Source organism: Homo sapiens, chromosome 12 (genome assembly GCF_000001405.40).
Source record: "Homo sapiens chromosome 12, GRCh38.p14 Primary Assembly".
Lineage (NCBI taxonomy): Eukaryota > Metazoa > Chordata > Mammalia > Primates > Hominidae > Homo > Homo sapiens.
Genome location: NC_000012.12, coordinates 112,731,899 through 112,759,214, shown reverse-complemented (window position 1 = coordinate 112,759,214; position 27,316 = coordinate 112,731,899). Strand labels below are relative to the sequence as shown.

Genomic DNA, 27,316 nt, shown 5'->3' with positions numbered 1-27,316 from the left:
CACACGAATGGAGGATTCAAGACTTATTTTTTACACTATGGTGTTTTGTTTTGTTTGAATTCTCACTGTTGCATGCTTTCAAAACAATTTCTAAGGCAGTGACCGCAATCACACATGTGTTCAATTGAAAACAGGATGGGGCTATAGAAACATCACTAAACTGGGGCACAAAAAGTCCAGGTCTATTTCCAGTGACCACAAGTTGTGTGGGTTTTGGAAAACCCTCTAGGATCTCTGAGCTTTAGTTTCTGCTTTTTATTAAGAGGATTTATTCATGACCAGGAAGCGCCATATTTCTGTCCTCCTGGGTTGGTAGAAAACTTGGAAAACTTGGAAAGCACAATGGGACACCCATCTGTAAGGCACATATTAATACTGTGTTACACCTATAAAACAGAAGAGAGAGCCTACAACTAGATACACTTAGGTGACTTCCTCTGTTAAGGCATTTTTTCAAGTGCATTATAGCATTTTGTGTGACTTTTGAATCACATGAGTACTGGTTTGGAGCTCAGCAGAACTAGGTTGAAAGCCCAGCTCAATCACTGACTAGCTTGAATAAGTGACTTAAAATCCAAACTCTCATTTATTGGTAAAATTATGGTAGTAAAAATCCATAGGGATATTGTGAGAATTAAATGAAATAGCAATTGGAACATTTAGCATAAAGTTCTCACATAGTAGGTGCTCAATAAATAGTGGGCTTTTCTTTTAAACCTTCCTCACGGTCATCCCACAAGCCATTTTGCTTTTAGGACCTGGATGTCACATATGGAATGTTTAGAAACCCCCACCTCTGGAGGAAAATGAGTTTACTTTCTGTCTTAACAGAGGTTCTCTAGAAAATAGAGCCCAGGCAAAAGCATTCTGGACTGACACTGTATTGGGGAATGCAATCCCAGGGAAGTAAGAGTGAGGAAAAAAAGAGACAAAAGGAAGTGGATGATGGAGCTGGTCAGTTGCCTGGTATTGCAGATGTCTTCAGAGAAGCTGCATCTTTGAACCACCCATTTAGAGGCAGGAATATCCACGAGCTCTCATCTTCCATTGAGCTCTCCTCCAGCTCCCCTACACTTCTGGATTTCATATGAGTGGGGAGCAACTGGATTCTACAGTACTTCATGCCTTGGTGGAACAGGAAAACTCCAGGGCAGAGGGGAGAGGTATACAGCACCAGCATGAGGGTGGGTAATTCTGGGCCATTTCTATGAGTGATACAAGGGACTAGAGCAGCTGCCACAGCAGGATGGTGGCAACATTGTCTTTAAGACAATGAGAACACAAGCTGTTACTAGCTCACTCTGGCCAGAAAGTGAGGCACGTGCCTGGCTTCTGAAAAGTACACAAGCTGAGTGTGACACCTTCCATCCAGGTGAGAGCCCAGATTCACCTCTTAATGTTCCCAGTAGGATGTTAACCTGCCACCTGCTCATCTGGTACCTAAAGCCTATAGACCCACTCTCTACCACCCATCTCAGAGAACAAAGGAGGTCTTCTTAGCCCTGGGAGAGGGCTCTGTATCAGTTCTGTACAGTTTTATGCCTTTATTATGTTTAATTGATATATCATAATTGCACATATTTATGGGGTACAGTGTGATATTTTAGCTTGCAAGTTGAGTAAAATTTTTTTTAATTTTGAAAAGTGTGATATCTCAATACATGTATACAACGTGTAATGACCAAATCGGGGTAATCAGCATATTCATCACCTCAAACTTTTATCATTTCTTTGTGTTGGGCAACATTCAAGATTCTCTCTTTTAGTTATTTGAGAATATATAATAAATTGTTAATTATAGTAGTCCTCCACTCCCATTGAATGTCCTACTGAGGTCTATGACAGCCCCTGGAAATTCTCAGCTCTTTGCCGCAGAAGGCTACTAACTTGGACCTTGTTACCTCAGCCTCTTGCAGAGCTGTCCATCAGGAAAGGCATTTAAATGTGAGATCTTTGGCTTTTTATCAAAGAACGCGATGAAAAGCCACAGCCATGTCAAATCTGTTCTTGCATCTTTCCAGTTTTATTTGGGACGTTGAACCATAGTATTCAGTGTCCTCTATTTAAATTCATTTTATTTCATTCATTTGTCTATTCAGCAAATATGTATTGAGGGAATCAATAAGAAAAAGACAATCTAAGAGAAAGATGGCTGAAGGGTAATGAATAGAGAGTTCATAGAAAAGAAAACACACATGGCTCGTACGCATTTGAAAAGATGCTCAGTCTCACTCAAATAAGAGAAATGCAAAGTAAAACTACACTGAAATAGTATTTTCCCCATCAGGTGGGCAAAAATTGGAAAGGTTAATAATACTTTTTGCTGGCAAGGCTGTGGGGAACTGTGTATTCTCAGACATTACTGGTAGGAGTGTTCCTATGCAGTGTAATTTGACAATATCTATCAAAATTATGAATGCATATATTTTTTGACACAGCAATTCCTCTTCTGGGAATTTATCCTAAAGAAATGTTTGGACTTGCACAAAATGATGTAGATGCAGGGTTATTCACTGAAGAAGTGTAAGAGCTAGATACTGGGAACAACCTAGATGTCTTTGAATAGGTGATTAGTGTATCCAAACAATAGTATTCTATAGAGTTTTTTGCTTTTATTATGTTTAATTTAGATATCATAATTGTACATATTTATGGTGTAGAGTGTGATATTTTAGCTTGCAAGTAGGGTAAAAAAATTTTAATTTTAAAAAGTGTGGGCTCATGCCTGTAATCCCAGCACTTTGGGAGGCCAAGGCAGGTGGATCACCTCAGGTCAGGAGTTTGAGACCAGCCTGACCAACAAAGTGAAACCCTGTCTCTACCAAAAATACAAAATTAGCTGGGCGTGGTGGTGCATACCTGTAATCCCAGCTACTTTGGAGGCTGAGGCAGGAGAATTGTTTGAACCAGGGAGGCGGAGGTTGTGGTGAGTGAGATTACACCATTGTACTCCAGCCTGGGCAACAAGAGTGAAACTCCATCTCAAAAAAAAAAAGCGTGATGTGTGATGTCAATAATACATTACACATGTATACAATGTGTAATGACCAAATAGGGGTAATCAGCATATTCCTCACCTCAAACATTTATCATTTCTTTGTGTTGGGAACATTCAAAATCCTCTCTTTTAGTTATTTGAGACTATACAATAAATTGTTATTAATTATAGTCACCCCATATTTCTTCGCACTTATTTCTCCTATCTGGCAGTACTTTTGTGTCAGTTAACCAGCCTTTGACTCTCTACCCCATGTACCACTTTTTTAAAAGATAGGATGAGATTTACTGATTTAGAAAGATTTACATGACATATTAGCAAATAACAAGGCATAAAGGATATGGCATTCCCCCAGTAATGCTGCCTAATAAATCACTGCAAAAGTTTTTTAAAAAGTAATTGTTTATTCTCATGCTCATAGATCTGAGAGCTAGTTGGGGCTCTGCTGATAGCAACTAGATAGGAATTTTTCATAAGAGCTCATGAAAAGGCAGGGCTCAGCAGGGCGGCTCTTCTCTCAGCTGCAAGCTACAGGTGCTGTTTAGTCTGTTCCTCCCTTTTCATTCAAGGGCCAGGCTGAAGGGATAATAGTTAACCAGGGCATGCTCTTCTCACGAGGGATCATGGAGCTCAAGAGGGCAAGATCAATCACACAAAAACATTTCAAGACTCTCAACGTTATCAGCTAACATCCAATTGGCCAAAGCAAGTCACATGACCAAGCCCAAAGTCAAGGTGCAAAGAACACTCTACCTAGCATGAGCTCTGTTAAGGGTGTGCCTGTATAACACCATCAGAGAGTAAAGGATTAGGGCCAATAACTCAACAGTACTTAAACGGACACATATGTGTGTATTTAACAAGGTATGCATATGTATGTGTGTGTGTGTGTGTGTGTGTGTGTGTGTGTGTGTGTGTATATACATATATATATTCAATTTTACTTATCTTTGCATAAAGTTATCCTGGAATAAACTATAACAATGACCCCCTGGACTAGGTGACTGGGGAGAAGTGAGAACTAGATGAATAAAAGGTAAGGAGGAAGACATTCCACTGTATACCTTTTGATATTTTAAAAATCAGGTGAATAGTCTACCTGTGCCAAAAGAATTAATTAAAAAGACCCACTGAGGACCTACTAAGTGCCAGGCACTAGGCTAGGTGTTGGGGATAAAGTTGTCAATAAGCAGATCCAGTTACTACCTTGAGGGAGAAAACAATAAAGCAAAGTGCTTTTTCAACCCTGGCTGCCACCAGAACCACCTGGGAAGCTTTTAAAAAATACTGATGTCAGCTCCACTCCCAGAGATTCAGATGTAATTAGTTTGAAGCAGAACCGGGCATTGTTATTTTTAAAAGGTCCTGGGTGGTTTTAGTGTGAAGCCAAGGTTGAGAATAATTAGTTTAGTAAGAGGAGACAGATTTAAATAGATAATCACACAACTAGCTGACTGTACTTGTACTAAGCAAGCCAAAGGAAAAATATAGGGAGATATTTCTTATGGTACTAAGAAAAGTTTTGCTTTCCTTGGGTAATTAGATTCTTCCCTCTCTTTGTTATTGAAAAGTATAAAACTTGACATATCTCCCTTTTCACTTTGGCAGCCAGGAAACTCAGTGCCAAATTTGAAGCTCACGTGGAACAATTCCTAAAATCCATATTGCCTACACATGTGGTCTTTTCCTTGAACCGAATTTCTACCCTTACTTATTTTTTTCATTGAATATAAATCTCCAGTTCTATTTTGTCATTGGTTCATGGTTCATGGTTTGTGTTCTTATGTCTTCAATCTTTTATGGTGTAGAGGAATTAAATTATCAATAATACATAATAAGAATGCCTTCTGTTTATTTGCTTGGCACCTATTATACTACAGGCACTAAGGCAGATGCTTTAGATGTTTTATTTCCAGTTGTTTAAAAACACACACACACAGAAGAGGGTGTTCATTTTACAGATGATAAACTGAGGCTCAAAGAGTTTAAGAGTGTGTCTAGAATCACACAGCAGTAAGTGGACAGGCTGCTGAATTAATTTCCTACTTCTGCTATAACAAATTACCACAAACTTGGTGACTTAAGACAACACAGATGTATTATCTTACAGTTCTGACAGTCAGAAGCCAAATGGATTGTCAGCGCTGCACTCCTTCTGTGGGCTCTAGGGGAGAATCATTGCCACGTCTTTTCCAGCTTCTAGAGGACACCTACACACCTTGACTCATGGTGGCACATAACTCTGGCCTCTCTTGCCATTGTCACTTCTCCTGCTATGAACTCTGACCCTCCTGCCTCTCCTGTATAAAGATCATTGTAATCCATGATAATCTTCCCACCTCAAAACCTTTAACTTTATCGCATCTTCAAAGTCCCTTCTGCCACATAAGATAATATATTCACAGGTTCCAGAAATTAGGGCATAGACATCTTTGGAGGACCATTGTTCAGCCAATCATAACTAGGATTCAAACTTACATCTTTCTAACCCCCAGACCTTGCTCTTTTCACTATTCTTTGTTGCCTCTGAAAAATCTGGGACTTATTTCTGTGAAATCGTCAATCTTAGGGCCTTCCTGGGTCTAACAAGAGAAAGGAGCATACTTCTCTGCAGATCAGGCAAGAAACAGGAATAATACTTTATTTTTCACCAGAGAGAAATTTTCCCCATTTCCAGTTAGAGCTGGTAGGGCTAACTGCAAAGTAGGGCATCTGAGGATCAGCACCCATCACCCTCTGCAGTTAACCAGGTGGGGCTTCAGGAAGTGGCTCACCTGAGTTTTCTGCATTACTTGTTTCCTTATTTGTTGCCTCCCCTGTGTGTACCACAGTATCTCATAGCCCAGAAGAGCCCAGCACAGAACTGGCATTCCTTTGATGAATGCAAACTCCAAAATTGCCCTGATTGAATGGATAGGATTTGACGTGGGTACAAAATTTGAAACTTGGGGATTAATGAAGTGGGCTCTGCCCAGAATCCCTCACCTTTGGGAGGGGTTGACATGAAAGCTGAGGTCAGGGCCATAATGGAAAAGCAGGAGTGGAATCGTGTTTGTTTGTCTAGCTGGGGCCTTTCTGAGGACAGAGATTACATCTCTTGAACATTCCACGAGAAACAGTCTGAATCGATCGTGCTTAGACATCAATAACAATCCACCTATGAAAAATTATCCCACAAGGGCACAAAGATAGATGTACAAGGATATTCACTGCACTGTTTACAACAGCAAAAAAAAAAAAAAAAAAAAGAAAACTGGACACCACCCAAATGTACATCTAGAAGGGGTTGGGGAAATAAATGATCATACAGTCTCAATGATGGGAACCTGTACAGCTATTAAGAGAATGGGAGAGATGAGGAAAGAGGTTCAAGATATATTGCAAAATGAAAAAAGCAAGTCGCAAGGAAGTCTATAAAGCATGGCCCTATTTTCTTTAAAAATACATATTTATCAAAACTCATCAAATTCTGCACTTGGTGACCTGTGTATTTTTTACTTATATGAATTATATGTTAATAGAAAAATATATGTATACATTCTAGTTATTGATTTGAAGAAGCAAATTTTTTAAAATTATTTTTTGAAATTGAGACTTGCCTTCTCAAAAAAAAAAAAAAAAAGACTTGCCTGCTCATATAACGTAATATTTCTGTTTTGTTGAAAGGTTAAGTCAAAGAAGTGGTTTACCAATGATTGTGGTTTTGAACAGAAGACATACAAGAGATACGTATTAGCATATACATAGAAAATAAACACAGGAGATAAGTTTATGCATTGAAAAGATAAAAATACACACATTTTGAATTTAGGAGTGAGTAACAAGGTGAGGGTGGAAGATGCAGAAACTAAGTAATAAGTTTCTATAATTGAATTTTTTGTTACAGACACATATTACTAGTAATGAGAAACAAACAAAGGTTATGAAAAAATCCTTTCTATGAGCCATACCATTTGTGGGAAATAGTGAAAACGAATCTTACATTTAGAAAACTGAGGGGCATTTAATAATTTAGCAAGTCAGGAGAATTGGACCTCGTTTGTGTTTTGAAAATATAAAAGATTGGGATTTTCTGATTACAAAGGTCATATGTGCTTATTGTATAATTAAATACCTAAATAACATGAAAAGAAAGGCTTGAAACTTACCCCTAATACCACATCCTGTCCCCAAAGAGAGCAAATCTTAACACTGGGGTACACACCCTATCTTACAAAAGCAGCACTAATGTTTATTTACTGCTTTAAATTTAAATTTACTGATTTTGTCCTACAATATGTAAAGAGCATCTTTGCATGACAATATTATCATACACATCATCATTTTAATAACCCCTGTTATTAAACTATAGCCATACTATAATTGGTTAAAAATTTATGCTGCTTCCAATTTTTTGCCAATTTAAAGAGTGGTACAAACAAAATTCTCATACATATATTTTTATTTAAAAACCTTTTCTAAAAAATAGGAACAGGGTCTTCCTATGTTGCCTAGGCTGGTTCAAACTCCTGGGCTCAAGCAATCCTCCTGCATCAGCCTCCCAAAGTGCTGGGATTACAGGCATGAGCTACCATGCCCAGCCTCATACATATATTTTTAGGCATTTATCTGACTCTTATGCACAGTCTTAAGGCTTCTGATCCTTGTGACCACATTTTCTCTCCATAAAGGGAATAATAATTAGTATTAGCATATGTTGAGCATGGACTTCATGCCAGGCCTCACACTCCTTTACCTCTGAACAATACTATAAGGCTGGTATTTTTATTATCCTTCATTTTATAGACAGGTAAACTGAGGCTAAAAGAGGTGTGTAACCTTTCAACGTCACACAACTACAAACCAGCAGAACCAAGAACAAAAGACGGATCTGTCTGCTTCCAAAGGGCAAACTCACAATCATAGCACTGTACTGCCTGCTATGCATATGACTTCCAGGATAGTTCCATCATTTCATTATCCCACCAACATCGCATGATGAAGCCCACATCCTCACTTCACCTCCCTCGCCCAAGCTGAGCATGTGTGTGTGAATCATGTAGTGAGTATGCAGTTACAAGGAACAGAAAACTCAACAATGAGGTTAAATAATAAAGTGATTCATTGGCTCAAATAACCAAAAGTCCTAAGGAAGGCCAAGTGTCAAGGATGACTTGATTCAGCAGCTCACTGGTGAGACCAACGTTCAGGTTTTTTTCCTTTTCCCTGGCTTCTGTGGTGCTGGCTTCCTCTTCCATCTGTCTCTCCATGGTTTCAAGATGGTCCCCGACAACTCCCAAGGCTATGTGCTTTAATTCCCCAGGTCCATACAAGGGGAGAGAAGGCTGACTTTAGATGCCCTCTCAGAAGAATGAGAAAGTTTTCTCAGAACCCCTAGCTCCTCATTGGCCTAACTTGTCCATGTGCTCCCCCTGAACCCATAACTGTGGCCAGGGGTAGAATTATAACAATTAGTTTAGACCTAGATCCTGGAGTGAAAGTAGATTCAGCATCCTCCAAAAGCTAAATAGGAAAGACATGGAACGAAAGTTAAGGCATGTTTCAAGAGGGGAGTTGGATATTGGACATAGCAGCATCCTCTCTTACATACCACCCATCTCTTGGGCCTTACCATTGCAGTGCACCCTATTGGCCTCTCTACTCTCACTCATGTCAAGGAGAAGTATCAGGGAATTAATATACCTAAGGAGCAACCTTCAACCAATGATGATAGAGTAGGTGCATAAATACCCCAGCTCCCTCACTCCTTAGATGGAACAACTGAGGTGCATGTTCTACAGTGGCTCTCAGGTTTGCCCAGTGGGATTAAGCTCCAGTTGTCCTCAGTAGTAACTGGGTTGGTGACTCACCCTATTTGTCTCCCTTCTCTTACTTTCTCATGTCCCCACTCCCCTCCTAGTGTTTCCTGGGACCACATTCCCAATAAACCACTTACACTTGGATCTCTGACTTGGGGGTCTATTTCGTAGGAACCCAAACTAAGACAGTGAGACAACTACAAAGTCCACTGCATTATTACTCGTGGCCTTTGTCTAGTTTAGGCACATTCTACAAAGATAAAATTGCAGTGCTGTAAGGCTTATAATAGATGTTCATGCAGTGGCTCTCCCTGCTGATGAGAGAACCATATCTACCTCCAAGCTATCTCCTTCACCTTCAGTGTGAAGGAGAAAGGAGGCCCCCTTCGTTTGGAAACCACTTTGCATGCACAACTACCTCAACAGTGACCAGACAGGAATGCATTATTAAGCATCCCATAGAGATGCTTTCCTGCAGATACAGACATCTGGACTCCTTGGTGAGGTTCCTTCAAAAACAAAAAAAACAAAAACAAAAAGAGAGAACTCTAATTCAGCCCATGGTGAATCAGGGTTTTTAATATATCTCTTTCTGGGAGCATTTGCTATAAACAAACTATTAGTCTGGTTGAGAGATAAAAAATAAGCTCTTCTTTAAAGAAGGCAGACATTAATGTTTAAGCTCTCTTCTAAAAGATGTAATCTCTCCTTTCTCACCTGTTAATGGGATTTGTATGACAATAATTTATTTACTGATTTAATTAATTGCCATATAGCTTTGCATGGTTGGATACAGCACTGGCAAATGGCTGATTTCTATCAGGAAAAGATGTGTCAGTATCTTTATTTCAGGGACGAGTCATAAACCAGGCAGATTTCTACCTCAGAAATGACCCTTCTCAAAGGAGAAAACGCTGAATCTTTAAAATGGGATGTAATTCTGAGAGTCGGAGAGTAGAAAGGGAACTGAAAGATGATTGAGTTCAATTGCCTCCTTTTACAGATGAGAGCTGGGAAGGAAAAATGTCCTGTCTCTAAGATTACTCAGTTAATGCAAGCCCAGGGAAGCACCCCACACCCTGACTCCTGGTTCAGAGCTCATCCCACTACATTGTCTGCCCACATCCCAGAACACTGACGAAATCAACAAAATCTATTTCTGTTTCCAGTGGGCTGGGCTGGGGGCTGTTGGATCAAATGGATTGAAGGCAGAGGCAGGAAAAGTGCCCAGCCTAGAATGGCCTTGACAACACATCACTCTCTCTCTCCTGACTCTAGAAAAAGCTGAAATTCTTGAGATAATGCACAGAAGGTTACTCAGATGAGAGAATCATATGCAAATGCCTTTCAGCTTCCAGGTAGGCAACAAATGGGTGAAGGGATGGAGAGTGAACATAAAGAAGAACATGAGAGCATCCTCAAGGATCCCAGTGTTGCCAGATCATCTGATTTTTCAAGAGAGACCAAAAGTCCAAAGTATGATATGGCATGTTCCAGCTTTTAAATCTTGGGAATTGGCATAATTAAAAAAAAAAAATTAAGCCCCATACAAGGCAAACAAAACATGTCATCTCCCAAAATATCAGTTCGTAGCCTCTGGCACAGTGTGTCAACATCTGGTGGCACATCTGGTCATTCAGGCATGCATGTATTCATTTATTCAGGGTCAATGGCAGTGGTCCCTAAATCTTTCTACACATTAGGACCATCTAGGAAGCTTAAAAATCCCAATGCCAAAGTCCCACACCATAGCAATTATATAAGAATGTTCAAGAGTGGGAGCAGGCCAGGCATGGTGGCTCATACCTGTCATCCCAACACTTTGAGATGCCAAGGTGGGAGGATCACTTGAGGCCAGGAGTTCAAGACCAGCCCGAGCAATATAGTAAGGCCCCCATCTCTACAAAAAATTTAAAAATTAGCTAAGCATGGTGGCATGTGCCAGTAGTCCTAGCTACTCAGGAGGCTGAAGCAGGAGGATCCCTTGAGTCCATGAGTTTAAGGCTGCTGTGAGCTATGATTGCAACATTGCACTTCCACCTGGGCAAGAGAGTAAGGTGCTGTCTCAAAAAAAAACAGTGGGGGAGTGGGGTGGTGGTGGAAGCCAAACATTAGGATGTTTTAAACATTCCGCATGATTCCAATGTATAGCCATACACGTCTGGGAACTACGGATCTATAATGAGTCAGGCTGTGCATCAGGCACTAGAGACACAAGGATGACTGCACAGACATGTTCTCTGCCCTCATAGGACTTACAGCCCAGTGAGCAATTCATGCAGGCACCCAGATGTGGCAGAGGCTGCCAGCTGCCCCGCAAGTCTTTTCTCCCCATCTTCCAGGGCACACGCTGGACTGCATTTCCCAGCCTTCCTTGCAGTTAGATGGAGCCACCTGTCTCCATCAGAATGTGAGTTGAAGGCATGTGTGTCTCTTCCAGGTTGGCCCCCGAAATCCAGCTGCTTCTCTATGCTCTTTAACCTCTGCTGCAAGAAGGGGCTCCTGGCTGCCAGGCGTTGAGGATGGAAGAGCTGCTGTCAGTCCACGCTAATGGGTCCATGAATAACTGTAAGGACCACTTGTTCACTTGGAGCAGTCACCCTGGACTGTTTCACATAAAAGAAATAAACTTCTATATTCCTGATGCCTTCGGATCATTGTTGAGGTCTTGTTACAGCAGCCTAAGCCACAACTAAGAGATTACAATAGAGATAAGAACTATGACAGTGGTAGGGCAGGGTGCTATGGGGGCACAGACCCAGATCGAGGGAGATCAGAACAGACCTACTATTGATTCATTTACTCATTCATTCAACAAATATTGACCGAGCACTTGCTATGTGCCAGGCACTGTTCTAGATGCAATTAATTCAATCAGCAAATAAGTTATAGTCATAGAAATGTCATTAAAAGGCACTAGAGATACAGCACTGTCTTAGTCTGTTTAGGATGCCATAAGAGCTTTAAAAATAACAGAAATTTATTTCTTATAGTTCTGGAGGCTGGAAAGTCCAAGATCAAAGCACCAGCAGATTTGATGTCTGATGAGGACCCACTTCCTGGTTCATAAATGGCCGTCTTTTCACTGTGTCCTCACATGGTGGAAGGGCAAGGGGTCTCTCTTGGGCCTCTTTCATAAGAGCACTAATCCCACTCATGAGGGCTCCAGTCCATGACCTAACCACCTCCCAAAAGTCCCACTACCCTAACACCATAACCTTGAAGGTTAGAATTTCAACATAGGAATTTGGGGTGGGGAGTGGTATGGTAGGTGGGAGGAAGGAGAGGACACAAACCTGCAGACCATAGCAAGCAGTGGAAACAAGACAAAAATCCTTGCTCTTGTGGAGTTTAGGATTCTCAAAATATAAGGTGACATTTAAACTCAGACCTAAAGGATGAATAACATAGGCAGAAATTTGGGAAGGGGGCACAGACACAACCACTCCCAGAAAGTGGAAGAACACCTGCAATGGCTGGGAGGGTGGAAGAAGGTGGCATCCCAGGGACACTTCAAAGAATTGATCCTGGCTGGGACACAGAACGGGAGGCTGGGGAAAGAGATGGGGAGAGAGGTGAGACAGAGAGAGACTGAGACAGAGGCAGCTGACTGGCAGAAACAGAGACACAGAGAGCACGAGGCAGAGAAACTGCCGGAGACAGACCCAAGACAGACAGAGACAGAGAGCAGGGCCGAAAGACCTGGCAGAGAAGGAGACAGGTCTTGCAGAGCCACCTTCCTCTGATGCTACACCTGCACAGGTCTTTTTTTACACAAGAGACAGATGTTCGCATTTTACTTAAGCTGACTCTTTGGTTGGTGGAGAAGGTAAATATTTGCTCTCCTACAACTTCCAGCAATTTTTCCTATAAAAGAAGGGCATCGTTAATTAGCCTGAGAGCAGCCTTATGCTTGGCCCACCTGAGATCTCGGTGAGGTTTGTTCCCTCAACACCTAAGGCTTGGGTTGAGTGATGGAGGGCAGGGTGGGTATTTGGAGGTCTGGCTTCTACACCTTCCCTGACTCTGGGTGGTGGCTGTGGAGTCTGTACCTCTGCTTCTTCATTTGTCACATGAGCATGTACGTCCCTCCTCTGACATTCTGTTGCAGCACTTATCAAAGTGTGTGATCATGCATTTAATTGTGACATTGTTTAATGTATGTTTGCCACAGGAGAGCTTGAGAGCAGGTTGTGTTTGTCTTGTTGGTGGATGAACGCATAGTAGGTGTTCAAGAGCATTCATTTGCTAAAGGAAAAGAGGGAGGGATGAAAGAAGGTAAGAAGGAAAAAGGGAGGAAAAGGAGGAAAGAAAAAAGATGTGAAACACACGTAGTACTCTGACAAGGAAGAACAGGTTGCAAGGGGACTTAACCTCATCTGGATTCACTCTTTAAGAAGAGAAAACTGCAAGATGAGTCTGAAATGACCTTCCTGGATTTCCTCGGGGAAGCTCATAAACACTCCTGCCTCTTAAAGAGGCATCTACAGTTCCACAATCACAAACAGAGGAAGGAGAGAGACTGACATACAGAAATGACCACCACCAGGAAACCACAGAATTGGAAGCCACCTCCCCTGACCCTGTGGTGCACCCCACTGCTGGAGGATGGCCATTGCTGGAAGATGAGCTATGGGAATGGAGTGAGCAGTCAGACTCCCCACTCACTCCTCTCCCTCCTCCTTAGGGCAGAAGTCTGTGATTTTGCTCCTTTCTAGCTAAAACTGAAGATTTCCAAGCAGTTGAAGTCTTTGGATTTTCAAATGGTAAGATGAGCTGAATTCACACTGGGAACAAATGAGGAAGCAATAGCTCACCTGGCAAAAACAACCAGAGGGAAATCAGCTTACATGGATTTTAATGGCTCCATGAGTCCATGTCAATATACATAAATGTGAATAAAATGAATAAATGGAGGGTGGGAAGAAGAGAAGCTCTAAGCCAACTAAGAACTGCAAAAGGAATGATGGAGTTAGAAAACCCTCAAAGGATGCTAAAACCAATGAGTGAAAGTGTGATAAATAGCAATATATTTAGTAGTTTCAAAGTATCTCCCCACAAATCTCTTATTCATTACAAAGGGGGAAACTGTATCTTTACAGTGGAAAAATGTATTAACCATAAGTGATCAACTTCACCAGGAATAAGACAAACCAATAGCAGGTGCCTCCAGATAAAATGCACTGGGGAGAATTCAGATCATTTCTGCATCATCCCTGCCAAAAATGCACAACCTGAATCTAAACACACAGAAGCATCAGGAAAGCTCACACTGAAGGCCTGGAAGCGTCAAAGATGTCAAAGTCAAGAAACAAAGAAAGGCCAAGAACTGCTCCAGAGGAAATGTTAAGAAGACATGACAACTCAATACAATGCACAATCCTGGATTAGATCTTGGACAGAGAATAAAGAGAAGATTACTGGGACAGTTGAAACACTTTGAAAATAAGCTGTGGATTAGATGATAATGTTGGAGAGATGGTAAATTCCCTGCTTTTGAAAACTGAACTGTGGCAATGTAAGAGAATATCTTTTTTCCTGGGATACACATGCTTGAGATGTTTAGAGGTTAAAACAAAACGAAACAAAACTGAAAGAAGAATCCAAACATCAGAGCACAGAGTAAAGGCTGGTTTCTGGAGTCAGGGGAACTGTGTTCAAATCCCAGCCCTGTCTCCCCTGACTGTGCGACCTTGTCAACCCCCTTGACTCTCTGAGCCTCAGTTCCCTCATCTGTAGAATGGGGCTAATAGTGCCTTTCTTTATAGGACTCCTGCAAAGAGTTGATGAGATGACCCCCTGCAAGGCCTGAGAATAGTCTCTGGCACACACAAATTCTTGATAAATGTTACAAGCAGCTATAAATCTAAAAGTCCCAGAGCTGCGGAAATCCTCAGAGTTTTCCAGCCCAACTCCCCTCCGAAACATGGGTCTCCAGATAAATGCTGCCCATGAAAAGAAGCAGGATTTTAAATACCACGGAGTCAGAGTTGTGAGGGCTCTAGTCTCACTCTTTTGTTTTACAAATAGAAAACTGAAGCCTGGCCGGGTATGGTGGCTCACGCATGTAATCCTGGCACTTTGGGAGGCCAAGGCAGGTGGATCACTTGAGGTCAGGAGTTTGAGACCAGCCAGGCCAACATGGTGAAACCTTGTCTCTACTAAAAGTACAAAAATTAGCCAGGCATGGTAGCAGGTGCCTGTAATCCCAGCTACTCGGGAGGCTGGGGCATGAGAATTGCTTGAACCTGGGAGACAGAGGTTTCAGTGAGCCGAGATCGCACCACTGCAATCCAGCCTGGGCTACAGAGCAAGACTCTGTCTTGGAAAAAAAGAAAGAAAGAAAGAAAACTGAAGCCTGGAACAGTCAAGGTCAAGTGGCTTGCCAAGTTCAGTATGACTCACCAAAATTTTAATTAACGCCTACTATGTGCCAGGCCAGTGCTACACTGTGGGGGTTACAAAGATAATCAGGCTCAGAGCCTGAGGGTGAAAGCGTGTGTGTACACAATTATAAAGTGTTGATGGAGGCAAATCAGAAGAAAATCTTGCCCACATCACCCCATGAAATCTTAGCAGTCCCCAAACCTGTATTTTCAAAAATCCTATCTCCACATATTTGCCCAAAGCCTCCTCTTACTGGAACATCAAATCTTTTTCCATTTCTTGCCACAAATCTTGTCATGCTCTTACTTGACACCTTCAGTGACTCCCTATTGCCCTTGGGGGGAAAAAAAAACCCTAAACTCCTATTCAAGATGTACTTCATCCAGCCCAACTACTCAAAACAGTCCTGTAAGAAGACTGATGAGCCACAACATTTACCGAGCGCCTACCCTGTGCGATTCCCCATGAGGCTGCTGGGAGGATACAGAGAAGAGTTTGTTGGCTTTGTTTTTAGCAGCGTACACAGTAGCCAGGGAGCAGACATGCTTGCAGAGTGAGCAACACCAGACGGTGTGGAGCTGGGTTTCTCCAAGTGTAGTCTCTATGGAAAAACCCCTGCATCTCTCTGATGGGAAACAAATATTGCAGGTGGGATGCTTGATACCCAGTGGCACATCTAGAGTTGCTCCTGCAGCAAAGGTGATGTGGTTTGGTCTGCCTGTGGGAACCACAGTGAACAAATGCGGAGCCTGGAGTGTTCCACGCTGCGGTAGGCAGAATACTGCTGCTCCTCCCCACCCACCCCCAAGAGGTCTACGTCCTAATCCCCAGAACCTGTGACTATGTTACCTTACCCAGCCAAAGAGAACTTGCAAGATGGGATTTGTCAGATGTCAAGATGCAGAGATGATTCTCTATTATCTGGAGGGAACTTTAAGTGTAATCACAAGTGTCTGAATAAGACAGAGGCAGAGGGAGATTTGACTACAGAAGAGGAAGTAGGACACGGGATGGCAGAAGCAAGAGGTTGGAGGGATAGGATTGCATGGGGACAAGGAGCTGAGGAATATGTGCAGCCGCTAGAAGCTGGAAAAGGCAGGAAAGCAAATTCTCCTCCCCTAGAGCTTCCAGGAGGAACACAGCCCTGCCAACACCTTGATTTTAGCCCTTTGAGGCCCATTCTGGACTGCTGATCTTCACAGTCATAAGATGATAATGCATATGTATTAGTTCAAGCAACTAAGTTTGTAGTAATTTATTACAGCAGCCATAAGAAGCTAATACACAAGCCATGTGCCACCCCAAGCTCCTTTGGTCCTCACCATGCTGGGATGTCAGGTGCAGCATTTACCCAGCAATAAACCTGACTTTCTCCCCCAGCCCTGACAGCAGCCCCAGGATCCTCCACTATTTCTTGTTGGTTTCCCTGGACTGTATTCATTGTTTCGAAAACAGCCCTGAGTTAAATTCTCCTCAAATAACCCAGTCTGAGAATGCCAACTGTTTCCTGCTGGAACCTCAGCTCTCATCAATCTCACTGCCTAATGAAGTCCCAAAGCTCAACTCCTAAATATCTGCACATTCCAGAACAGTCTTGTCCCTACATTTCCTCATGTCTCAAAAGCTGATTTCCTCATGGCCGTCTCGGTGCCGTGGCTCCTGCTGCTGTGGATGCTTCTTCAGATACATGAACTTCGTATACAACATTTCCTCTCCAATTTCCCGGAAGAGTCTACCCACAGCAAGAATGCCTTAATAATGTTCTCTTTAACTGAATATTCCACAGGGGGCCCAAAGAAGAGACATCTATCATGGCAACATGAACAATGGCTGATGGACACTGTAAACATCACCAATCCCAAAATTTCTCCTGGGATCTCGCTTGGACTTTCAACTCTCCCAGGTGTCAACTAGAGAAAAAAATCAAGCTCTTAAAGAATTAAAGTTAGCTTTATTCAGAAGTCTTACTGAGGACTGTGGACTGAAGGAAGCCTATAGCCTGGGAACAGTCCTTTAGAGAGCTCTATCAGACTGCTCTGGTGCAGTATTTTAGCGCACTGCTTATATACAGGTGGTAGAGGTTTAGTACGTGCAAAATCACATCCAAGTTGGATGTAAGAGTACATCTGGTTATAGATTATAGAGGCACAATCGCTAACCCCATCAGATGATATCTTATGTGTAGGAAAAGGCAAGGACTAGGGTCACTTATCTTTTAAGGAATGTAGTGACTCAGGCAAAAGACATGGGGGGCCTGTGTGCTGTATCCTCTTTTGTCTTCAACACATGTTTCCAGAGAGATGGGTGTCATCACAGAGTCAGAGGCTTCTGACATTAGGCTGGCAAGCAGAAATGAGCAGACATGGCTTCTTACATTTGCTACTTTATCTCACACAGCTCTCTCTCTCCAACTTTCTGAGGCCTCTCTTCTCCTCCCATCTCTATCCCCTTCCACTGTCTTTGATGCTTTGGAGTGAGACCGGTGACATGGGGGTCGAAAGCTCACTCTCTCCCCAAACTCTCATTAAAGCGGTCTTCTAAACAAAGACAGCTCTATGTCTACAAGGAATTCTAGTGGGAGGGAAAGAACAAAAATGTTTTTACCCTCTATACAAAAGTAGTGTGAATTTGGAGTCTGGAGATTGATGGGTCACTAGACAAGATTAAGGAGCAATCCAAAATGAGAGAAGCTGAGATAAGAGAGCTGGAGGAAGTGAAAAGCCCCAGCCATATGGCAGCACAGGGGAGCCCAACAGGAAAGGCAATTGATGAGAAAATTCCTACGGTGGGAGAGGCTAAGGAAATGTACAGTGTTGACTATTCCATTTTAACTTGTTTTCTGTTTTGTTTTGAGCCATTGTCCAGCTCAGCCATTTTCAAGCCTTCAGTAAAAGCCTACTACACAGAAGTTGCCAGAACATCTGGGGATGTTCTGAGGCAGGGGGTGGGCAATGTTTAAAGTAAGATGAAGAGGAAACAACAGCTTCAGGAGGCAAGACACCATCCACCACATGGACCCATCTAGAATTCCACACGAGAAGTGACTGGGAGTGCAAAAGCCCTCTGAGATTCCCAGGTATATCCAAGAAGGCACTGGACATCCTACAATACATGAAATGGGAGCTTGGACCATTTTGATTCTGATTTTAAAAGGACAAGTGGAGGTGTGGAGGAACAGGAGACATCCCATATGGAGATGGCACTTTCAGACTTTGAACCTTAGCACTAATGGTCAAGGTCTCGAAAATCATGATGCAAAATGGAACTCCGCGCCTGAATTGCTGCTGAACTGTGGTGTTAATTACATGTCTGCAAGACATTGATAAGGCTAAAATTAGCCAACAATTTGATATGTTGACATTTGGCATCAGTAACTGAAGCTTCTATGAAAGACAGATTTGTAAGATGAGCTTCTGTTTCATGATGACACAGAGGCTTTCAGGAACCTCAAGAAATTCTGAAAGTTCAGCATTTTCTCTGCATCCACTTGGCTATGCATGGTGCTGAGAAAAGGTGCTGGCTTGCCCACTCCTTGAGGTGAAAGAGAGGAGGAAGAGAGAAGGGCAAAAGCTGTTAGACTAAGTTCCCAGGCTTAGTCACTGGAGTGTATTTTTCTGGTGATATTCATTAATATGCATACCCAGAACCAACACTTTTCAAAAAAGTGAAACAAAATAAAGCTCTCTGGCTAACTATAGAATTCATTATGCTGCTTAAATTGTTGCGGGAAATGCATGCCTAAGGTCTCCAAGCTGGGAAAACTTTTTATTATATGCCAGAAACTGAGCCAAGGGTTTAACTAAAATTAACTCATTTGATCCTCACAAATACCTTAGGTAGAAGGTACTATTATTATCTCCATTTTACGGATAGGGAAATCAAGGCTAAAAGAAGCAGTCAACTTAGCTGGTGTCTCGGTCAAAATCAAATCAAGAAATCCGAAACTGTTTCAAGTATTTACGACAGAGAGAATTTAATGCAGGGGATTGGTTACATGGGTAAGGAGGGAGCTGAGGCTATAAGGGAGGGTGAGGCCAGCCAGAGACTAGCAACAGCAGAAAGTGGTTACTACCCAAGGCTGGGGGGGGATGAAGGGAGAAGGTAGGATTCCTAGAGCCTTGGGGCCAGTGTCACCCAGTAGAAGCTGGAAACTTGGAAGAGTCAACAAACCTTCCAGAGGCAGAGAGGGAGGGGAAGAAATTCCTTGGTCTTTCCTTCCTTCTGCCTTCTCCTGTAATGCCATTGCCTCCCACTGGACAAACCCAGCAGGAAGCCAAGTGACAAAGAAGTGTGGAAGATGTGGGCTGTAGGGATGTGGCCCCTGTAATCAGAAAAGAACAGAGGACAGATAAATAAGGCCAAGACCAGGACGGCTGGTAAGTGCCTTAGCCAGAATTTGAACCCAGGTCTAATCCAAAAGCAAATAAACCACAGCTCCTTTCATGGAAGAATGTAACAGCCAACTCTAAATTTCTTCAAGGTGACACCTGTCATTCCATATGGAAATGGGGGAGGCCAGATGACCTTCTCAAATTCTGGGCATTGTTCCCTGTTAAGGGCAGGCATAAGGGCATGAGTTTCCACAGGCACGAGTTCCAACCCCAGCTCAGGTGACGGCTCCTCGTGTGATTTTAAGCAAATGACTTCACCTCCCTAAGCCTCAGTTTCCTCCACTGGAAAATGGAGGATAGAATTATACACTTCACAAAGTTGATCTAAAATTTAGAGAGCAGTTGAGTTCATGCAGGTGTTCAAAAAAAATAGACCTAATTCCTACCATTGCCATCAACAACATTATGTAACCTACAGATTTCTCATTTAACTCACAGAACTATCACTTCACTTACAAGCTGGGTGTCCTCTTGAGGAGGCAGGGTTGGCAGAGAAGAAATGTGAATTCCTCAATCACATCTTCAAAGCTATCCTGGGCATTCTCTCAGAGACCTCTTGGCTTTCAAGCAAACCTATCCAAGTTCATTAACAGTTACAAGCTGCTCCCTGGGAAGGAATACCTGGAGATCCTGCAAAGTCTGTTTATTCTGGCCTCTTCTCCTTCGTGCATGCATCTACCTCATACTGCGACCCTACTTTGCTTTCATTAGAAAATTATTCATTAGGGGAAAAAAGAGAGAAAACCAAATACCTAGGCAAACAAACCCAACTCCCAGGGCTTGCAGATCTGTTATGATGAGCCTTTGGTTTGGAAGGCAAAAGGGAAATGCAAGCCACAATTAGGATTATGAAATGTATGATATGGGCACAAGTTCAGCATGGAGTTGGCTGAACTGCTCTGCTGTGATGGGACGGGTTTAATTTGTTCAGCACAAAACCATCCGGTGAGTCATCTGCTCTTTTTGATTGAGCTGGAGGTAGTGCAGCTCCCCAAACAAAAAACACCACCACTCACCTTCCAGGGGACCCTTCCCGCCCCCTTCTACACCCATGCAGTGGTGATGGCAGAGAATAGAACCATCTAAATTCTGCTCAAAATGTGGTCTAGAAAGTGCTTACTCCCTTAGTGGGTTAAGTAGTACCCCCTGCAAAATGCATGTCCACCAGGAATTTCAGAATGTGACCTTATTTGGAAATAAGGTATCTGCAGATGTCATTAGTTAAGATGAGGACATACTGGATCAGGGTGGGCCATAAACCCAAAAATGTGTGTCCTTATAAGAAAAGGAAAGAGTGATGCACGCCTGTAGTCCCAGCTACTCGGGAGGCTGAGGTGGGAGGATCTCTTGGGCCTAGGAGGTTGAGGCTGCAGTGAGCTGAGATCACACAGCTGTACTCCAGCCTGGGTGACAGAGTGAGACCCTGTCTCTAAAAAAAAAAATTAATTAATTAACTAACTATAAAAGAAGAGGAATGAACACACAGAGATATACACAAGGAAGAAGGATACGTGATGATAAAGGCAGAGATTTGAGGCAAAGCTACGAGACTAGCAATGCCAAGGATTGCTGGGAACCAAAAGAAGCTGAAAGAAACCAGGAAGGACTTCTCCAAAGTCTCAGAGGGAGCACAGCCCTCACTGCTGCTCCATTTCAGACTTCAGAACTGTAAGAATACATTTCTGCTGTTTTAAGCCACCCAGTTTGTGGTAACTTATTAAAGCAGCCTCAGGAAAGTAAGACACTAATAACAATTTTGGTACTTAGCTCCTCACAGACCAGCAACAGTTTACGGACCAGCACCGGTCATGGACAACACTTTTAGTAGCTCTCTGTGTGGATTTAGGCCCAGTCTTTTTCCAGTTATTGGACTCGGTCCAGGGAAACTCTTCTTCACGTCCTTAACCCTGGGTCTATGCACCTTCCCCCAGTACTTAATGGTGATCCCTAAGGATAATGATGCAAACAGTGTTCATACCGTAATTGATTAGTGGTGGCTGCCTGGAGGAGGAGTCTATGGCTCAGAGGGGAAAAAAACTGCAGGATCAACTAGCCATGTCTGTCTGGGATTGAAATGGGAAGTCATGGCATGTCTATGCTATCCAAACAGTCCTCGAATATTCCAGATTCCCTTTGGGGAAGATCCATTTGGGAGCTATCATTCAAGAATACATCTAAAAATAATAATAATAATGATGGTGATAGACTCATAGAGTCTTACTATGTGTTGTTTTATATACATGAATTCATTCCACCTTGATAATAACCCTATAAGGTACATATTATTATCCCCATTTTACAAGTGGGGAAACTGAGGCTAAGTGAGCCATGGACTCAAGATTCCAACTCAAACAGTCTGGTCCACAGTCCTCAATCTCATCCACTATGTCTGTATATTCATCCCTTAGCATAATATCTATTAACAACTCACTTTATAAAGAAGTAGCTTTTGTTTGTTTTTTTTTTATTTTGTTTTTTTTTTTTTTGAGACAGGGTCTCATTCTGTCACCCAGGTAGGAGTGCAGTAGCACAATCTCGGCTCACTGCAACCTCCACCTCCCAGGCTCAAGCCATCCTTCCACCTCAGCCTCCTGAGTAGCTAGGATCTCAAGTGTGCACCACCATGCCCAGATAATTTTTGTATTTTTTGTAGAGACTCGGTCTCACTATATTGCCCAGGCTGGTCTTGAACTCCTGGGCTCAAGTGATCCTCCCATCTTGGCCTCCCAAAGTGCTGGGATTACAGGCATGAGCCACTGTGCCCGGCCAGAAGTACTTTTCTTTAAGTAGCCTAAATTTACATATGTTGAGCCTCAAGAGAGATTCCCCCACTATGTCCACCTATCCATGTCTGCCTGCCATTGGTTACCCTCAAATTGCAAGCCTTTCTGAAAGAGAGAGCCCCAGAGTGAGAAAAATAACAACAACAACAGTAGCTGACATATATTAAGCACCTAGTATGCGTCAGCCCTATTCTGACAGCTTTAAATCTTTAAGGCATTTAATATGCACAGTCCCATGAGGTGGTCACTGTTCTTATCCCAAGGGTCGTTAATTGCCCTTGGCTTTATGAAATAGCACATTTCTAGACAGCTGCAGTGCTCACACTCCGTGTCTCATTTCTCCATGTGTTCACCAAATATTTATGCAGCACTTACTATGTGCCAGGCCAATGCAAGATGCTGAAGAAGACAAAGTCCCAGCCTGAAGGAGCTTTTGGTCCAGTGAGGGGACAGTCAGAAGGCAAATAAGTACAACACAGTGAGACAAGATCCCCTGGACAAGGTGTCAGGTAAACAATGAAGAAGCTGCTAAACACTGGCTAAGCAATGGTTCTCAAACAGAGGTGGTTTTGTCCCTCAGGGACATTGGGCAATGTCTGGAGGCAGTTTCAGTTGTCACAACTGGTGGGGGTAGTGCCACTAGAATCTCGTGCATAGAGGTCAGGGGTAGTACACAACATCTTACAATGCCCAGGAAAGCTCCCACAACCAAGAAGTGTCCAAAACGTGGTAAGGTTGAGAAACCCCACTGTAAATGAGTCAAAGTCAAGACAAATTTGAGCTGGGCTTTTAAGGATGTGTAGGGGTTTAGAAGAGGGGGAAAAGCATTCCAGGCAGAGGGAACAGCCTATGCAAAGTCAAGAAGAAAGTAAAGGGCAAGGCACGTTTAGAGAACATGTCTCAGGATGTCCTCCCAGGGAACAATGGGAACAATGTTCTCTCAAATGGGAATCGTGTAGCATGAGTAATAAAGTAGGGTAGGAATAGATCCCAGTGGGTCCATGGAGCAGCCTAAATTTCATCCTCTAAGCAATGAGGAGCCACTTAAGGTATTTGAGCAGAGTGGACAATGAGCAGGTCAGAACTGAAGAAAGGCTTGGGGGGAGGTGGGGAAGACCAAGGTCAGGACACCATGAAGCCAGGCTGCTCCACACCATCTCTGTCCCAGCGTCTAGTGAACCCTAAATTCTGGGTGCCTAACTCTGGCAGGCTCAAGTGCAAAGTGTCATTCTCCATCCCAGGCTCTGCCAGGCACAGATTCAAAAAACAATTAGCCTCCGCTGACATGGCAGTAACGAAGGCATGTCCTCCCTCCGAAATCTTAACTCCAGCAGGCAAGAGCACAGCAGGTTTCCAAACCTCTGCCCTGGGGCATTTCTAGACATTTTTATCTGGAAGAGGCTTTTTTCTGCTAGGTTTAATGAGGGAGGTAAGAAGACTACCTAATTTGAGTTCTTAGAGGCTCACACACTCAAAATTAAGTTTCTAAGCTTCTCTCCCCAACATCTCTCCATGCCTTTTCCTTTTGTTTCTATTGACTTCCCTGCAAAGTGCTTTAGGGTCCCAGTGGAATTTACAAGCCTTACAGCTTCCCAGAGTTTAACCTCCCAGTGAATCCGGCCATTGGCCATTTTTGCTGTCAGCCAGGATAATCGATACTAAGCTCTTAAATTGTGTTTCTTCCTTGGGCGATTTTCCCGAGGCTGTTATCTCTGCTCTGTGACACCCAGGACTGCAAATGGCAGTCAGAGAAGAGTTTCGGTTTGGGAGCTTGTGTCAGAGGTGTTCGAACCAGAGTGACTCCATCTTGAATAGGGGCTGGGTAAAATAAGGTTGAGACCTACTAAGCTGCACTCCCAGGAGGTTAGGCATTCTGAGTCACAGGATGAGATAGGAGGTCAACACAAGATACAGGTCACGAAGTCCTTGCTGATAAAACAGCATACAGTAAAGAAGCCAGCTAAAACCACCAAAACCAAGATGGTGACGAAAGGGACTTCTGGTTGTCCTCACTGTTCATTATACACTAATTATAATGGATTAGCATACTAAGAGACACTCCCACCAGTGTCATGACAGTTTACAGATGCCATGGCAAAGTCAGAAAGATACCCTATATGGTCTAAAAAGGAGAGGAACCCTCAGTTCTGGGAATTCCTCACCCTTTTCCCAGAAAACTCACGAATAATCCACCCCTTGTTTAGCATATGATCAAGAAATAAATATCCTGAGTCCAGCAGCCCAAGCTGCTGCTCTGCCTATGGAGTAGCCATTCTTTACTCCTTTACTTTCTTAATAAACTTGCTTTCGCTTTATGGACTCACCCTTAATTCTTTCTTAAGCAAGATCCAAGAACCCTCTCTTGGGGTCTGGATTAGGACCCCTTTCTGGTAACACTTGGACTGATATTCGCCATGTACAGTCACACGTCACGTAATGATGGGAATATGTTCTGAGAAATGTGCTCTCAGGCAATTTGGTCATTGTGTGAACATCATAGAGTGTATTCACACAAACCTAGAGGTATAGCTGACTACACACTTAGGTTATAGGGTAGAGCCTATTGCTTTTAGGCTATAAACCTGCACAGCATGTTATTGTCCTGAACACTGTAGGCAATTGTAACACAATGGTAAGCATTTGTGTATCTAAACATATCTAAGCATAGCAAAGGTACACTAAAAATATGGTAGTACAATCTTATGGGACCACCATCATATATGAGGTCCATCTTTGACCAAAACATCATTATGCAGCTCATGACTGTACTTGGGCAAGTGACTTCCCCCTTTGGACCTCGTTTTTTTCATCTGTATAATGAGAATAATAAGATATCTAATTCAAAGAGCTGTGTAGAGGCCACAGATGTAAATTCCTTAGTACAGTGGTTGGCACTTAATAAACATTCAATAGATTAACATAGTAATAATACTATTGTTACCAGAGCCACCTAAAGCTGCATGACCTTTTACACTCTCCTATTCTTTGCTAGAAATTATGAAACCACATGAGGAAAAGGTAGAAGGAAAGGAAAAGTCATCCAGATCCTTCTCTGCATCTGCCATGCCCACTCTGTGCTGGGTTCTTGTTTGCACATCCGCTTGTCTTTAATCCTCACTTGGCAGCCTCAGAGAAGTGCTGCTTCTATCTTCCTTTAAGAAAGAATTTCCTTCCATTGCAAGGAGAACCTTCGGGATCTGCTGCAGCATTTGAACCAAGACACCTTCTCTTCAGGTAGCCCCAGTCAATGACTGGGCATGGCAGGGGTACTAAGGCCTCGTCACTTCTGACCAATTCGAGGCTTCTTCATTGGGCTGTCTTTTGATGGGAGCTCCCTGTTGGGTGGGCCAACACTTCAAGCCTGCATCACAAGCTGAAGGCTTCCCCTGCACACTCCTGCTTCAACCCCTTTATCTTTCACAGGCATTAACCCCCAGTAAGCCTCTTGCACCCCTAACTATGTGTCTGCTTCCAAGAAGGCCTAACACACCTCACAACCAACTCTTAATGCTGTATGTGTGTGTGATGCTGGTGTATGTGTGTGCAGATATGTGCGTGCCAGTATGGGTGTATATGCACAGGAATGTGTGTGGGTATTTGTGTGAAAGTATTTGTTCAGATGTGTGTATATGCAGGTATGTGTGCAGGTGTGTGTGTACGGGTGTGTGTGCAAATCTGTGCAGGTGTGTTTGGAGCTTGTTTCCTTGTCTGTAGCACAGGCTCATGCTTGAAACTTGCAGAGCATGAGGTTCTTATCTCAAACATGAGACACATGAGTGCCAGGGGAGGTGACCCAGAGCCTAGCACAGTGCCCAGCTCATTACAGGAGCAGCTTGATGCATATTTGTGAAATGAATGACTAAATTGATAACTGTAATGCAATATTCAAATCAGACAGTGGTCTGCATCTTACAGAAGAGAAAAACATTCCCAAAGTCCAATTACCTTTTAATCCTCTTAATGACAGCAATAGCCAACATCTACTGAGGGTTTTGATGGTTACAGTTACACACTCTAGATCCACCTTCAAGGAAGAGCAAACTATGTCAACTGCAGAGCCACCTTACCCAAAGCCACACACCTCCCAGGGTGGCCCATACTCAACAAATGCTGAGTATACAGGCCTGACCATATTGAACCAACTCAGGACACCTCTCGAGGGCCATTCTAGCTCCAGGGCTCTGTGGGGTCAGCTGAAGCAATGACTGGACCCTCACTGCAGCTCAATGTTTCCCACTACCTTATTCTGCTCCCTTCCTCTCCTTCCCACTAGGGTGGATCCCAAGAGCTCTCTTTATTAAACATCCTGCACGTTCATCTCCCCACAAAGCCATTTCTTGGGGAACCTAGCGTGCGTTAATGAGGGTGCCCAGAGCATTCACATGTATGGACTCATCAAATTCTCACTACAACCCCAGAAAGTAGGAATTATTAATCCCATGTTACGGGTAAGAAATACAAGGCCCAAAAGATCACATGGCTAGCAAATGGAGAGCGGGGATGCCAGCCCAAGTGTGTTGGACTTCAAAGCCTGAGATTCTAAATCTTTGGAAATGAGCGTGTTCATCCTCCACCTCCAAACTGAGTCTCTAAAGTGAGTCCAGCTCTCAGAAGTAGCCAAGGTAATAGAGAGTGGCCTGACACCCCAGAACCCAGCTTTTCCCTTGGGCATCATTCTGAGAAGCCTCCACAGGACCCACCACGAACCAAGGACACCAGTCAGAGAACACTGAAGTTCATGCCTCCAGAAACGCTTGTTTGCGATTAGATCATCAGAAAGGTCATTTTGAAAGAAGTCATTGCTGAGCTGATAATGAGTTTAAAAGGATGTTTAATCAAACATAGTTATCTGATCGAAGCTGGAACTTGAGAAATGAGCCCGAGGCTTCCCAGCCCACTGAAAGCCTGTCAAAAGAATCAAGAAAACACACAAATTATGTAGCTTCTTTATGGATTTTT

General features: G+C 43.0%; 1 protein-coding gene across 1 annotated transcript in view, besides 1 other annotated feature; it reads right to left on the bottom strand.

Moving 5' to 3' along the window:
* The window catches only part of RPH3A (rabphilin 3A), a 323,646-nt gene that overhangs the window by 139,667 nt on the left and 156,663 nt on the right, over positions 1 to 27,316 (bottom strand). The window lies entirely within an intron of this gene.
* Positions 10,858 to 11,358: an enhancer, noted in NCBI's record as "NANOG-H3K4me1 hESC enhancer chr12:113185662-113186162 (GRCh37/hg19 assembly coordinates)". NCBI's record gives its function as "activates a minimal SCP1, AML or CMV promoter by ChIP-STARR-seq in primed H9 embryonic stem cells {active_cell/tissue: H9 hESC(primed)}" and the evidence as "EXISTENCE:reporter gene assay evidence [ECO:0000049][PMID:30033119]".